Source organism: Homo sapiens, chromosome 16 (genome assembly GCF_000001405.40).
Source record: "Homo sapiens chromosome 16, GRCh38.p14 Primary Assembly".
NCBI lineage: Eukaryota > Metazoa > Chordata > Mammalia > Primates > Hominidae > Homo > Homo sapiens.
The window spans coordinates 54,950,469-54,966,727 of NC_000016.10; the positions used below are offsets into that span (position 1 = coordinate 54,950,469).

At 45.8% G+C, this 16,259-nt stretch overlaps 1 long non-coding RNA gene across 1 annotated transcript, besides 2 other annotated features; it reads left to right on the forward strand.

Annotated features, from left to right (window-relative positions):
* The first annotated feature begins 1,031 nt into the window (after positions 1-1,031).
* Positions 1,032-4,194, forward strand: LOC105371277 (uncharacterized). The gene is made up of 2 exons (XR_001752189.1): positions 1,032-2,109; positions 3,881-4,194. It is a non-coding gene; the product is annotated as an uncharacterized LOC105371277 (long non-coding RNA).
* Positions 1,157-2,356: an enhancer, noted in NCBI's record as "P300/CBP strongly-dependent group 1 enhancer chr16:54985537-54986736 (GRCh37/hg19 assembly coordinates)". NCBI's record gives its function as "activates an origin of replication core promoter dependent on BRD2, BRD4, P300/CBP, MED14 and CDK7 cofactors, with strong dependence on P300/CBP, by STARR-seq in HCT116 cells {active_cell/tissue: HCT116}" and the evidence as "EXISTENCE:reporter gene assay evidence [ECO:0000049][PMID:35650434]".
* Positions 6,889-7,183: a silencer, noted in NCBI's record as "tiled region #5485; HepG2 Repressive non-DNase unmatched - State 13:Ctcf". NCBI's record gives its function as "represses a minimal TATA promoter and a strong SV40 promoter by Sharpr-MPRA in HepG2 cells {active_cell/tissue: HepG2}" and the evidence as "EXISTENCE:reporter gene assay evidence [ECO:0000049][PMID:27701403]".

A 16,259-nucleotide genomic window follows, 5' to 3' on the forward strand; every position in this document is an offset into this window, starting at 1 on the left:
TCTATGCTAAACATATGAAATAAGGGATAAGCATGAGTTAAAACCTCACTTCTACCCTTGACTAATTGCGTGCTCTTGGGTACTTAATTCACCTCTGAGATTCAGTTTCTCCATCTGTTAAAATGGGGCACAATCATAACGTTAGGAGTCCATTTCAGGCAGACACTTTAAAAGTCAGGGTCTGCTTTCCTGGCTTGTAGGATTGTCGTGAGAATTAAAGGAGATTGCTGCAGGCAACCTTTCTAGGCCTGTGGATTGTTGCAGGCAAACTTTCTAAACAGATGCATAAGGCTCAATCCTACCCTAAGGAGATTTCATTGAGATCGGACTCATAGCACAATGATTAACAACTTCTTGAGAATCATTTTTTCTTTTTGTTCCCCAAGGGGACCCCAGTCTTGTTTGGGGTGGCAATGTGCCCTGCCCTAGGGGAGGAACCGATTATATTCTGTTGTAAGAATTACATTTCCCTTTTGCATGATGCTTGCTTTTCCAGTCTTCCTTGCAGCTAGGTGGTCATGTGACCAATTCCAGCCAATGAGATATAAAAAAAATCTACTAACCTTTCTGAATCTCAGTCTCTTATTTTATAAAATCAAAGTGCAGTGATGTTTAATCTCCCCTTTTCTTTTTTTCCTTCCTTCCTTTCTTTCTTTCTTTCTTTCTTTCTTTCTTTCTTTCTTTCTTTCTTTCTTTCTTTCTTTCTTTCTCTCTTTTCTTTTCTTTTCTTTTTTTGAGATGCAGTCTTGCTCTGTTGCCCAGGCTGGAGTGCAATGGCATGATCTTGGCTCACTGCAACCTCCACCTCCCAGGTTCAAGTGATTCTCCCACCTCAGCCTCCTGACTAGCTGGGATTACAGGCATGCACCACCATGCTCAGCTAATTTTTGTATTTTTAGTAAAGACAAGGTTTCACCGTGTTGGCCAGGCTCATCTCAAACTCCTGACCTCAAGTGATCCACCCACTTCAGCCTCCCAAAATGCTGAGATTACAGGTGTGAGCTACGGTGCCCAGCCTTTTTTTTCTCTTTTTAAAGCAGAAGATCCTCTTTTTTTTGTTCCAAAGAAATCTTACGTGGAATCCTAATATATAACAAACAAAGCACAATTGTTGTAATTGAAATGGAGATTGGAGACTGCAGGAGTCCCCTCCCAGCCTTTCTGGGCAGTCCCTGTAGATGTCTACAAAACAATACTTGGTAATCCTCTGGGTTGGAGAATATCTGTATTCTGTAGTGGATATATGTTATCTTGTTTAATTTTTGGGACACACAGATTCCATTCCTGCACCCTGAATTTCTCCTTGAGAGCCACCATTCCATTTCCCCAGGTCCATATGTTTTTGATGAAGTTAATTCAATTTGGCTCCAGGGCTAGGCATATGATTTTGTCATGCCCAACATTTCATCCCACTGGACTCAGTGATTGGTTCAGGAATGTGCACATGACCCTATTTAGCCCAGTGAGATTAGATCTAGGATTTTTATTAAAATTTAAGAGAGGTGGAATTTTTTCCCCCCATTAAACTTGAACTCTGGGACTATGAAACCTGAAAATAAAGTCTACATGGAAGTAAACAGAGCTGAAAGATGGAAAGAGACCAGATCTCAGAGGTGTTAAGCCATTGGATTAAGATTTGCCTGAAGACAGACAGATCTGCCACTGGACCTTTGGTTTTGTGAGTCAATATATATTTTTTTAATTTAAGTAGCTGGAGTTTCACCTTCTATTATTTGCAACCTAGAGTCCAAACTAGTATGGATTCCTTCCAGATCCAGAATCCCAGGATCCTCGGGGAGGTAGATTTTGGGGCTGTTCACCAACTTTCCACTTTTTCTTCTCCTGAGCACATGGTAGGATTGCACTTCCTCACTCGTTCTGAGTGGGGCATGACATATGACTATGGTGTATGACTTTCTTTGTCAACAAAATGTGAGTAGGCGTGATATGTGTCACTTCCAGGTGGGCTCTTTAAAGTCAGTGCATGATTCACTCCACTCTTTCTTTCCCATAATAATGTTCCAGATGTTGGAAGCTCCATCAGCCTGGGTCCCAGATTGAGGACAACGAGGAGCACAGATCTCTGCTGACCCTTGATGGATTTGTACTGTGAGCAAGAAATAAACTCTTGTTATTTTACGCCATTGAGATACTGGATCAGTTGCTAGAGTAGCATACCTCAGCCTACCCTGAATGATAAATGAATAATTCTTTACTTCCTACTCCTTCTGTTCTTCTCCTTCTTCTCTTCCTCCTCCTCTTTTTCCTCTTCTCCTCCTTTCTCCTCCCTTTCTCCATCTCTATCTTCTTGCAGCCTTGCTCTGGCCAGCAGTCTTGTAACTCTATCTCTTAACTTACCTTCTGTCAACAGACCATTAAAAGGGTTCCATGATTGCTCTTCTCCAGCCTTCCCAGTGACATCCAAGTGGACACTGGCAGGAGATAACCAGTTTACCTCAACAAAGTCATGCTGGTGGTATCCCCACTAGTGCCAATCAATTACAGCTGTCAGTCATTCATTCTTCCTAGTACTGGTCCCAGCAGGGGCCAACTTCCTGATCATATTGTTGGACACACAGGGCTCTGAGTTCTGGAATAAAACTTTCTCCAGAAATTTCCATTCATTATCTTATGACAATTAAAAAGATTCTGGAGTTTGGGGCATGGTATTCATAACATAATGCTCTGCCAAGATAAAAAATGGACAGGCAGGCACGATGGCTCACGCCTATAATCCCAGTTCTTTGGGAAGCCAAGGTGGGAGGACCGATTGAGCCCAGGACTTCAAGACCAGCCTGGGCAACACAGGGAGACCTCATCTCTACACAAAATTTAAAAATTAGTTGGGCATGGTGGTGCACACCTGTAGTCCCAGCTACTTGGGAGGCTGAGGTAGGAGGATCACTTGGACCTTTATAGTTGAGGCTACAGTGAGCTGTGAGCTTACCACTGCACTCCACTGCACTCCAGCCTGGGCGACAGAGTGAGACTCTGTCTCAAACAACAACAACAGCAACAAAATGGACAATTAAAAAAATTATATGCATCAGCTTTAGTTGTTAATAAGCAATTTTTAGGGCTGATCAGCTAATTAAGCCAATGCACAAGATTCTGCGCCTGGGGTGGATATTTGGAAATGACTAAGTTCTGTTGAATGAAAAAGTAGGAGTAAATCATTCCTGAAGCTTGAGTGAGATCATTATCATTAACATATGGGACACTGTATAGCTCAGGAGTCTCAGACGCATCTGCTAATAGGGGCCAGACAGACCATGGGAGTTATTAGAGCAGGCCAGTGGGAGTGGTGGGGACCGTGGGGACCTTCACAGGGATACTTCTTCTACATTCAGCTCTGGCTGATTGTCCCCATGTAGGAATGTAGGCCCAATGTTGCTAGTTCTTCCATTTTTTTTTTTTTTCAGGAGACTTGAAATCCATCTGCTTGTCAACTAGATTTTTTTCTAAAATAGTGTAAAGTTCAAACTTTGTCGGTGACCACGGGTAGAATGTTTGATAGTGTATAACACATGGTCACCCTTATTATGTCTTGCCATTCTACATTGTCTCCATTCTACAGATTAGGAAACCAAGGCTCAGGAAGGTACAGTGACTCCCCAAGATGGACATAGCCAGGTTCTGAAACTTGAACCTATGCCATTTGGCTCCATGTCAACTGCTTTCTCTTCCTCCTCTATCATAGCTGTCTCCTCATGGCTGAATATGTAATGGAGAGACTGATAGTACACCAAAGATTCATGCTTCCATTTCCATAGCACAGGTGGTGAGTGGGAAGTGGCTATGAGCTAGGGACTGCAATTCCCAGCCTCTCTTCTTGTTTTATTTTTTATTGTTTTCTTTTATTTTTTATTTTTTTCTGCAGCCTCTCTTCTAGATCAAGTCATGTGACAAGTTCTTGCCAATGAATGGAACATGACAGGAAGTGATATGTGTTATTTCCGGGCAACAGCAATTAAGAAATGGGTGCATCTTCTCCACCCTCTCTTTCCCCTCCCACAGCTTGCTGCAGAGGAACCCAGCCACTTGGAAGCCATGTGTTGAAGATAAAAGGACCACAAGATGGAATACATCCGGTTTCCTGATGTATTTTCCTCCAAATACATCATTTGGAGGAAAGCCAACTCCAATGCGTAGTGCTCATTTTGGACTTGATAAATAAACTTTCATTGTCTTTAAGTCATTATATATTTTTGGTTTTGTTATAGCAATTAGCATTACCTTAACTGATAGAAATATGAATGGACTTTAAAACATTTTTCCTTTTTCCCTTCCATAGTAACAGGAGGAGTTCATAATGGACAGGGTTATCCACTTGAATCCAGCAGGGCTTCGATGAGAAAATGACTCAAATTAGGTTTGGTTTCTAGGGATGGGAGTGTAGTGGCCCTCAGTGTCCCAGTGTCACTGCCTCTTGACCCTCTGCCCCCTTCCCAACCTGGCATTAAAGGAGGCCTCATTCATGCTTCAGCCTGGGGTGAACATATTATCATTGCTGTCTTCTGGAGAAAGGCAACAGACAAAACAAGCATTCGGCCTGTCTGGGCCGCACACCCTCAACCAAGATAGGAGTCAACATGTTTGGGAACATCAAAGACAGTGTGGTATCTTAAGCATAAGGAGATTAACATTTACAAAGGTTTGCCCCTCAGCCTAGTCCCAGGAATCCAGCAGACAGAGCCAGAAGGGACAATTAACATCACCCATCCACACTGGGGTCTTCTGGCATCTCAGAAGATTTTCTTTTGAGCTTTCTGCTAGATCTGGGATGGAGGAGGCAAAGTCTAGTCTCGTATTTGAGCAAGAACCCTCTGCACTCAAAAGAGATGTTAAAACATGCTGGGCATGACAGCATAGGTGTGAAGTCCCATGGGAGAATTCTGCCCCACTAAGTACTGTGCACTGGCACTCAAAGGGAGAGAGTTTTTACCCAGAAAGTCAGTACCCTCCTAAGCCAGCCAGTCAGTACAAAGGGACTGAGGTGGGCTGTGTGGCCGGAGGAGGGGTGAGGCACTGGTTTGCCTCTTTGAAGCAAGAGGTCAAGAATATCCCAACACACTCCAAGCGCTGGCAACAGTAGGCAAAAATGGGGGACCTAAATCCTTTACAGCTGTTGGAAACCATACCCTATTCAGAGATAATTGGCAATTAGTTAAACAACTCCTGTTTAAAACACTCCTCCTCCCCATCCTTAAAGACAGCTGTGTTTAAAAAGGGAAGGGGAGAGACTTCTCAGGAAACCTAATCTTCAAATCTATTCCCAGAGCTCTGGGAATCAATGAGTTAGAGAATTTAGAACTATGTCCAGGCAATAGAACATCTTTCTAAGACCTATTGCTCCATTTTTCTCTTGCAGTACAACATAGCAACATAGTGGCCAAGAGCACAAACTTGGGAGTTAGAAAGGCCTAGGTTTGAGGACCTACTCTGCCACTTATGAGCTGTGGGAACTTGGGCAAGTTGCTTAAACTCTCTAAGCCTCAATTTTTTCATCTGTAAAATGGGCATGATAGTAATTGTACTATGAAGATTAAATGAGATGGTGCCTGGCACAGAGTCAGTACTCAGAAGTGTCAGCTCATAGGCATACAGGCATATTCAAACCCAAATTCCTTAGCCTGGTATTCAAGGTCTTCTACAGTTTATCTCCAATCAACTCTTCCTAACTCTGCCTCACCTCATGTCCTCTATTATCTAGCCAAAAAGAACGAACCCACCAGGCTTTAGTTTCCTCTTCTGTGAAATGAGATCAATGAATTGGATTGTCTCTAAGTTTCCTACCAATCCTACTCTTCTAGGCCTTGGGAAAGCCCCACCCCATACCTTTGACCACACCATTCTCTCTGCCTAGGACTCCTTTCTTCTCATCTTCATTTGTCAGTCTTACCAAGCCTTCAAGAAACCTTCCCAGGGAAGGGATTTATTTCTTCTTATAAATCAGCTCAAACCAAAGTTGTCAATTGGTGCCCTTTTGTTAGTCCTGTACTGTATTTTTTTTTTTTTTTTTTTTTTTGAGATGGAGTCTTTCTCTGTCACCCAGGCTGGATTGCAGTGGTGCAATCTTGGTTCACTGCAACCTGCACCTCCTGGGTTCATGCAATTCTCCCTGCCTCATCCTCCCAAGTGGCTGGGATTCCAGGAGCACAACACCACACCCAGCTAATTTTTTTGTATTTTTAGTAGAAATGAGGTGTCACCATGTTAGCCAGGCTGGTCTCCAACTCCTGACCTCAGGTGATCCACCCACCTCAGCCTCCCAAAGTGCAGGGATTACAGGCGTGAGCCACCACGCCCGGCCCTGTGCTGTATTTTTTAAAAGCAGAAAATATTACTTTTTTTTAATTTTCAACTTCTTTTATTTTTATTTTACTATTATTATTTTGAGACACAGGCTTGCTCTGTTGCCCCAGGCTGCAGTGCAGTGGCACCATCATGGCTCACTGCAGCTTCAAACTGCCAGGCTCAAGGGATCCTCCCGCCTCAGCCTCCTGAGTAGCTGGCATGCACCACCACGCCAGCTAATTTTTTGGTAGAGTCTGTGTCTTGCTATGTTGCCCAGGCTGGTCTTGAACTCCTGGCCTCAAGTGATCCTCCCACCTCAGCCTTCCAAAGTGTTGGGATTATACGCATGAGCCACCACACCCAGCAGCAACTTCTTTTGAAAAGTCAGGCCGGACACGATGGCTCACGTCTGTAATCCCAGCACTTTGGATCACCCGAGGTCAAGAGTTCAAGACCAGCCTGACCAACATGGTGAAACACCGCCTCTACTAAAATTACAAAATTAGCCAGTCATGGTGGTTCATGCCTGTAATCCCAGCTACTCGGGAGGCTGAGGCAGGAGAATAGCTTGAATCCAGGAGGCGGAGGTTGCAGTGAGCCAAGATAGCGCAATTGCACTGCAGCCTGGGCAATAAGAGTGAAACTCTGTCTCAAAAAAAAAAAAAAAAGAAAAAAAAGAAAAAGAAAAGAAAAGAAAAAAAGTCAGAAGACCTGGCAATCTGGGACCTGGACAGTTGTCTGGAGATGGCTAACTACTGCCCCCTACAGGTGGGGCAGGTGTTCCTGAATTTTTTTTCACCTCTGATGCTTTCCTAATTGACTGATTTTCTGCCTGGGCCCAGAAGGCAATTTTCCTTCTCCTCCCCCTTCTCCTCCTCTTCCTCCTCCTCCTCCCCCCCTTTCCTCCTCTTCCTCCTCCTCCACCTCCTCCTTCTTCTTTGTCTGGTCCTCCTATTCCTTTGTGTGTGTGTTGGAGGGTGGTAATTATTTCTTGTCTCCCAGCTTATGTTGGAATTACTGATGTTTATAGGCACCCTCATCTTCTCTACTGGCCTGTGAGATTCTTGAGGACTGGATTCTTATTCATTTCTGAAGCCCAAAGGACCTGGCCCAGAGTCTAAATGCAAAGAGGGGATGAGCAGGGGCCCTGCATGCCTGTGAATGGAATCCCTGCAGTTGTACAACCCAGCCAAGTGAGTGAGTGAGCTTGTGAGTGAGTGAATAGGTTAATGAATGATGAAGATGTGTACTTACATAGCACGTTTTATGTGCCAGGCACTGTACTAAGTACTTTACAGATGTTAACTTATTATAAAATGAATGGACACAGGAGTAAATATTGAATGAATGGGTCCCTGTGCTTGGTTCTCGGCTTAGGGCTGATGACCTCTTTTCTCTGGGAGATATGAACATACATTCTCAGTTCTGAGCCCCAGTTGGCTTGGGAGCTCTTTCCATGTTCTAGACCTTGGTTTCAACAAGCTTTACTCACATCAGTGGAATGGGGATGAGGAGATTGTGATTGTCCCAACCTGATAAAGTTGTTGATTACCCAAAGAGCTGCCCCATCGCCTGATGGAACCCTAAACAATAGACAGAGGTCGCTACAGCTGCAATCTAGACTGCCTGCTTGGTTTCCTTTTTTTTTTTTTTTTTTTTTTGAGACAGAGTCCCGCTCTGTCTCCCAGGCTGGAGTGCAGTGGCGCGATCTCCGCTCACTGCAAGCTTCGCCTCTCGGGTTCACGCCATTCTCCTGCCTCAGCCTCCTGAGTAGCTGGGACTACAGGTGCCTGCCACCACACACGGCTAATTTTTTGTATTTTTAGTAGAGACAGCATTTCACCGTGTTAGCCAGGATGGTCTCGATCTCCTGACCTTGTGATCTGCCCACCTCGGCCTCCCAAAGTGCTGGAATTACAGGCATTAGCCACCGCGCCAGCCTGGTTTCCTCTTCAATGTTCAGTCTCATTCCCTGAGAGTAGGACATTCTTTGTGTTTGCACAAATGTTTGCATCAATCTATTTCATGTATATGACATTTTAGAGCTTAGTATTTCTTAATTCATTATCTACTTTGATCCTGAAGAGTTACTTATTTCTCCCTCTTCCCTACCTCCATTATAAGGTATGGAAAACACACATTACTTTATACTCATTTTACAGATGAGGAAACAGAGGTCAAAATGGAGAAAAAGGATTTGCTCTAGGTCGTACTGCAAGGTAGAGACTCTCACTTGCACTTCTGGCTCAACTCTTTTTCTGTTTCATTGCAAAAATGTGTAATACTTAGGTGGAAAAACATCCCAATCCATTGGCCACCATTGTGATATCAACAGAGAGGAGGACATGGTGGTTCTGTTGATTGAGGGTGGTGGAGGGAAAGTGCAGGAAGAGAGGCCTGATTGGAGGTGGCTGGGGAAGACGTTGAGAAGGGGCTTGGGGACAGGGATAGAGGAAGCGAGAGTGATAGCACTCTCGCACACCCACTGGACCCATTTGTGTTAGCTCCCTGGGCCCATGGGCAGGCACATTTCTGATCCATGATGTTGACAGAGGACCCAGAACCCAAGCAAGGCCATATGCAAGTTCATGTTTTAAGGGAGCAAACTCTAAGAAAGCAAGAGGTGTGAAAGTAGAGGAACAAGGTACTCCTGGGGCAGCTGACGAAGCCGATTGCCCCCACCACCCACAAACCCCTGAGCTTGGTAAAGCCCATGTAGACAGGTAATCCACACACTCCTGCCTTAGGGCCAGAGCCACCCTCCCATCCCTGCCCTCTGGAGACCAGCTGTCCTTCCTCTAGGTCCTGTCCCCTGCCCTCCATTCCATGAGGTCCCTGAGTAGCCTTGCTGCCAATAGAACCCAAATGGAAGAGGCAGCTTGGATTCTGTGGTACTGTTCCCCGTCTCAGGCCATCTTGCTGGTTATCTTATTTGAGTTTTGTGATCATGTGGGAAGGAAGCAAGGAGTCCTCCCCATTTGACAGATGAAAAAACTGAGGCCAAAAAGAGTTCGGGGGCTTGTCCAAGGTCACACTGTGAGATACTGGCTTAGCCAGGACCAGCATCCAAGGCCTGGCTTTAGGAGTTTCAGTTTCTCGTCACCTTCTCCAGGTTTTATTGACATTAATTCCCCTCCTGATGGCTCACCTTCCCCTTTCTGTCTCCAGAGGTAAGACTTGCTTGACAGAGTCTGCCAGAATGATTTGGGTTTTAGTTAAAAACTAGGAATTTCTGCCCCAAGCCACCCAATGGGAAAAGAGTAAGCAGAAAAGAAATCCCTCAGAGAGAGAAAGCAGGTGAGAAAACAGTTTTCAGGGACTATGTTACTTGGATGATGGTAGTAACTGATACCCAACAGGGTATTACCCTGTGACAGACACTGTGTACTAAGGTCTTTACATGAATTAACTTATTTCATACCGTTAATAGCCATATGTGAGAGAGACAAGATTATAACATGCGATATCAGAGAAGTTAAGCAACTTGTGCCAGGTCACACAGCTGACAAATGGCAGAGCTGGGATTTGAACTCACAAGGCCGGGATTTAGAGTCTTTGCTCTTAACATGTATTAGCTTATTTCATCTTCCCCATGCTTCTGTGATAGGGGTACTATCAGTACCTGCGCTGTAGAGATAGTCAAACAGAGATTCAAAGAGAAAAGGTGATTTGCCCAAGCGGTAAACTAACACCCTTGTTCTCTTTGAGTCCAGGCCAGACAGCACCTCCTTCATGTGCATACCCCAGGAGTGGAGATGATAGATGCTGACCATAGCTAGCACTGAATGTGTATGCATAATGTGTCAGCCACTGTTCTAAGTGCTTTGTGAGTATTCACACATGCAACCCTTACATGGGCCTTATGAAGTTCATACAAATTACCCCCATTATACAGATGAGGAAACCGAGGTCCAGGGAAGCTACGTAGCTTGCCCAGCATCACATAGCTGGTAGGTGGTACAGTCTGGCTCCAGAGCCCTTCTTCTTTTCAGCCTTGTGTGCTAGACAAAGGCCCATTTTAGGCCTAAGGGACATGAAACACTGTGCAAAAATAGCATCTAGGTATGGGAGAGTTGTATCCAGGGAAACATCAGCCTCCTCTACTCTGAAAAGCACCAGAATAAAAGCCGATGCTCTCTGGTGCAGCCCAGACCAGAGTTTGGGAGGCATCCTCAGCTGAGATGCTGAGAACCCAAGAATGAGACAATGAGATGCTCCCCAGAGGCTTGGCAGCCTGGGGAATTCAGTGGCTTCTCATTAATGGAAGCCCACAGGATATGCCCAATAAAGGATGTTGCTGATTGGGAAGGCCGGCCCCTTGCTTTGCACAGAGGAGATCCCAGTGTCAGAAATTATTAGGGGTCAGGTTTGTCTGTGAGCCAGGCTGGGAGCCAGGGCAGAGGTAGTGGGGAGATGAGAGGAGAGGGCTATTAATAAGACAGAGAGGAGGGGAGATGGGATGGGGAGGGAGTGAGAGTGAGATTGAGAGAGAAGGGGAAGAGAAGGGAGGCATATTGAAGCAATCGGAAAAAAAGTCAAAGAAGACAGCATAATTTTCAGCAGGCTCTTTTTCATCTCCTATCCCCCACATCCTTGACTCCATTCCTTTTTGCCTCCCGCCTCTAAGTTGGTGATTAAGTTATCATGCAAATAACAAATACAATGGAAGTGGCTTCTTGAAAAATGATTTCAGGAAATAAATAATTGTCTTCATGAGCACTGGCCAAATACAACGATTCTGGTTCCTTTTTTTTTCCAAGATGGGGCTAGAGAGGGAGAGGTGGGGAGCAGGTCACAGGCCTGCTGGTGGAATTGCCTCTCTGTGGCTCTGTCTCTCTCTCTCTGTCTCTCTCTCTTTCACAAGTGAAGGTACATTTCATCGTCATGTCTGACTATCCCAGCCAGGTAAGTGCTCAAGACAATGAAAACTAGAGACATAAAGCAGGCCGCAGCCTCCATCCCCAGGTGGAACCCAGAAGCCAGCACTCAGAATGACAGGGAGCCCAGGCCTCCCCTGAGACTCCAGCAAAATCTGCAGTCCTCTGCCCCACAGTTTTAGGGCAGAAAAGCCTGCCACCCTCTTGCACTCTAGGAGAAGCAAAACTCACCCCCAAAATACAACCCCCACCCCAAAAGAGCTGGGAGGGGGAATGTGTTTCATTTGACTCAGGCAGAAAGATAAACTTGTTCCTCCCAAGAAGAGGTAGGTACATTTCCCTTGATGACTCCAAGTCCTACATTCAGAGCTCCTGGTAAGAGCTCCTAGCTAAGGATGGACAGCTTCTGTGGAAGTCTTTGCAGATCATAACAGGTGGTTTTCTTTTTGTTTATGTTTTACAGTGTTGATGGTAGCTTCACGGTGTGGTGTTGTCTCCTACTTATGTGTAACACTTTTGTTCTTCTCTTCTTTCATCCGTCTCTCCCTCCCTTTTTTCCCTCCTTTCTTCCTTGCTTTTTTTCTATCTTCCCTTCTTTCCCTTCCTTCCTTCCCTTCTTCTCTCCTTCCTTCCATCCTTCTTTCCTTCCTTCCTTTCTTCCCTCCTTCCTTCCATCCTTCTTTCCATCCATTCTTACTTCCATTCTTTTCTTCTTTCCTTTTTTCCTTCCTTCCTTCCATCCTTCCCTCCCTCCCTCCCTTCTCCTTCCTTCCTTCCTTTCTTCCTTCCTTCCTTCCCTTCCCCCCTCCCTCCCTCCCTTTCTTCAATACACATTCACTGAGCACCTACTCTATGTCAAACTCTGTTCTATATTCTGGGAGTACAGCAGCAAGGTAGGCAGACAAGGTCCCTGGCCTTATGTGATTTACATTCCATAAAGAAACTACAGACAATCAACAATCAACTACAGACTCACCACCAACAATACTTTAAATAGTGTTAAGCGCTATGAAGGAAAAAATGCAGGAGTGTCACGGGGTGAGGCAGGAGTTTCATGGTGTTGGCTGGAGAGGTGGCGGTGGGGGTGTCCATACTAGGTTGGACAGTGAGGAAAGGTGCCCCTGATGCTGTCTGTGAATGAGGGGAAAAGCAGTAAAAGGAAAGGTCAGGACGGAGGACGGGGAGTGGCATGGGATCCTACAGGACATGATTTTAGATTTTCCTCGGGTAAGTTGGGAGCTAGGGCAGAGGAGCGGCATGATCCCTCCAGCTGTGGTGGCCATGGGTGGAGGGGCCGAGACAGAGGCAGGAAGGCTGATGCAATGATCTGGGTGGGAGACTGGCAGAGTGAAAGCAGTGGAGACAGTAAGGCCGGGGGATCCTGGATGAATTTTGAAGGTAGAGCTGGATTTGCTTAGGAACTGGAGAAAGTTAGTGTCATCCTTGGGTGATGACAAGGTGAGTATGAGTGAATGATCTGCAGCTCTCCCCTGGGAGTGAGACCTTTACGGCTTCCATGCGTGCCTCTGCTTTGGAAGCAAAGGCAGGGAAGCTAACATGTTGACCTCCTTCCAGAGCTTTCTGGTGGCCAGGAGAGAAGGCACCCTCCTGGAACGTTTATCCTTGCTACCCCTGCCAGGCGCCTCTCTGCAGAGTGTCCCTACCCCCTTTTTGCACAGGGTAAAAAATACATATATGCCTTGATTTTCATTGATCCATCCTGAATCAATGCTTTTAAAAAATCTCACGCACATTTGGCTTAAGAGCCAAAGCATGCATTTTATGTTTTGACATGGTGTCATCGATCTGAGGCACGTGTGTGTGTGCCCCACCTGCCCAAGACCCCCGCCCATCCCCCCGGTGGCCGCCCTGTGATTCTGCGTCCTTAATGGCCTTGCCCCTGCCTGCACCTTCAATGCCTCCCCTGGCCCTCAGCATGGGGCCCTTTCTCGGGTTTTTTGAAAGAATCGATAAGGTGCCGGGGCCTCCTGCGGCTGCTTGTCACTCACACTCCACCATATAATAAATTATGTATCTCTCTCTCTCTCGCTCTCTCTCGCTCTCGCTCTAATTTTTATTGCGTTTGTTGATGGCTCTGTGATGGTTGACTTTGCCCAGGCTCAGAGGCAGGGTGCAGTTGAACTTTAGTGAGGACATGGAGAAGGGGCAGCAGTCTTAGGAAAAGGGGCCATGGGGGCAGTGGGGGAAGAGGAGAAGGCATTAGCTGCAGACTATGAAAATGGGCTTGCTCTGAGCCTCTGGGGCTCAGGAGAGCTAAACTGCTTCCTGTGGTCCTGGGACCTCCTCGGTGGGACAGGGCTGGATCAGAAACCCCCCAGGTTTCAGCCGACGAAGAAGACACATATTTCTGGGGGGAAAGGGAGAGATTAAGGTGGCATACAATAGCATCTCCTGCTGGGTGTTCTACCCTGACTTTTGGGCCAACAGGGAACTTTGCTGAGGCTGGGTCAAGCCATGGGTGTGGAAACAGTGGGTGTGCTGGGGAGTGGGCTTCCTCACTCAGGGGCCTCCCGAACACCCATCCTGAATGATGTGTTAAAAGAACAGTAGGCAGGAATGCAGGAGGCCCAATCCCTTGGCCCCAGTTACTGTGTAACAAGAAACAAGCTTGTTCTCTTCCCTCAAATGTATAACCAGGAGATTAAAGTAGCTGATACTTCCAACAGTGGCCAATTATTGAGCACTCGCCATGTACTCTCTCAGGTCATCTCCACAACAACCTTCAGGCATGGGCAATCGCAATCCCAATTTACAGATGAGCAAACTGAGGCCAGAACGGTTAAGTTGGTTGCCCAAGGTTGCGTGGCCAGAAGTGAGCAAGATTTGAACCAAGGCCTATCTGGCTCCAGAGGCCATGGTCCTAGTGGCTCTGCCTTGCTAACTATTTTTGTTGTTCCTGAGACCCCTGCTCTTTGCCTCTTTGGTTCTCTTAGAATCTGTCCCCGTGGCCTTTGCACCCTCTGTCCCATTAGTGACCTCAGTCACTAATGTCTGGTTTGCCTCACCTCCTCGTTGCTTTTTCAGCTCCTCTAACATATTTGTGGCCCACTCTCTGAATTCGCTTCCCTCTGTTGAGTTCCTGGAGTGGGTTTTGTTTGCCTGGATGCATTTTGAGGGACAGATTCAAGGGGCAGCCACTACTCAGTGCCAGCTAGCTATTGCTCATCAGTAGCAGGCCCGTGGGCCTAGCATGGCCTGCTCTTCTAATTCTCAAGCAAAGCCAAGTGTCTGGATTTTTATACAATGCCTCATTTTTGCATGTTAACACCAATTTAAGCTTTAAAACAACATTCCAAAGACTGAATACAACCGGTCCATGGGTCCCAGTTTGCAACTCTGCTCCTTATCGTGACTTAATGTTTTTTGCTGCTGTTTCCTTCTTTCAGTACTTGGGTCAGGTCCTAAGGAGGGGAGTCGGTTTAGTCAGCTCATGCCTTATGCTAGGTCAGTCACTGACCATTCAATGGATTCTCTGCCTTTGAATTGGGTGCCCTCCCTTGGCTGAACACCTAAGGTTAGGGGGTGATCTCATGGCACAAAACCACATTGATTAAGCCTGTCTATTTGGCAAGATGGCTTGCCTTTTAATCCAGTGTTCTTTCCATCTTACTTCTTAGGCTTCCTTTGTTAGTCAGTACTTTGTTTTATTTTGTTGAGAATCAAAGCCAGGACTATAACCTAGATCTCCAGATTTGGATAAATCTATTAGGACTTCAACTTATTTTTATGAAAGACCAAAGGCTCAGGGCTTCTTTCTGATGATCCTTCTAGGCCTCGTGGTCTACGGTTCCAGAGATGTCCTTTCTGTAGCATCCATCCATCCATCCATCCATCCATCCATCCATCCATCCATCCGTCCATCCATCCATTGATCCATTTATCCCATCTGTCCAACCATTCATACATGCATGCACTCATCTATCCTTTCATCCATCTATCCATTCATCTGTCCATCTATCCATCCATCCATCCATTGATCCATTTATCCCATCTATCTATCCATCCATCCATCCATCCATTGATCCATTTTTCCCATCTATCCAACCCACTATCCCATCCATCCATCCATGCATGCACTCATCCATTCATCCATCTATCCATCCATTCATTCATCCATCCAGTATTCATCCATCCAGCAAATATTTATTAATTATCTATTATGCAGCATACCAGGCACTGTACTGCGCTGTATAAAGTAGTAAATGACACAGATCAGCACTGTCCCCATAGAACTACATTCTAGTCAGAAGAAAGAGACAATAAATAAGCAAATAAGTACATATATCAGGTAATTTTAGATAGTGATAAGTGCTATAAAATAAAGAAAACCAAATAGAAAAATAGGACCAAGGGTGAAGGGATACTGTAGGGTGGCTGGTTAGGAAAAGCCTGTTTGAGGATGACATTGGAGTTCAGATTCGAAAGTAGATCTGAGGAGAGAATATTGTACATAGACAATATTCTAGATAGAGGGTCAGTGAGTATAAAGACACTGAGAGTGAAAGAAGGAGCAGAATGAAGGCCAGAGTGGTTGGATCCACAAGGGATACAGTGATAGGTGATAAAGATGGAGATATAACTGGGCCCAGATCTTCCAGAGCTTTGTAAGCCATTGAAAGAACTTGAAGTTTGATTCTGAGTACCTGGGAAGCCATCTCTGACCAGGGGAACTCCTTTGCCTATCCATGTAGCTGTGACCACTGCCTGGGTATTATATCCCTACAGAGACCAGAAGCAACTGATGTGGTGGGCCAGGTCCCAGAAGTAAGCCTGTGTCATGAATGTGGGAGGCTGGACATCCCACTTGGCCTGGGTGAAGCTCTGAGACTTATGCTTTCAGCTGCGCCTGTGCTTCAGGATTCAGGTGGGGAGAAAAGTCATGAGGTCAGGCAATTCATGCTGGCGGCTAGGGGTCGGCTAAGCTGGGGTTAGGTCCTGACTCTGCTACTTACTACTGATGACCTTGCACAAGTTACCTACCTCCTTGAGCACCAGTTTTCCCATCTGTAAAAGGGACACAATCACAATGCCCTCCTGTGGCTGTTGAAATGATTAAGTGAGATA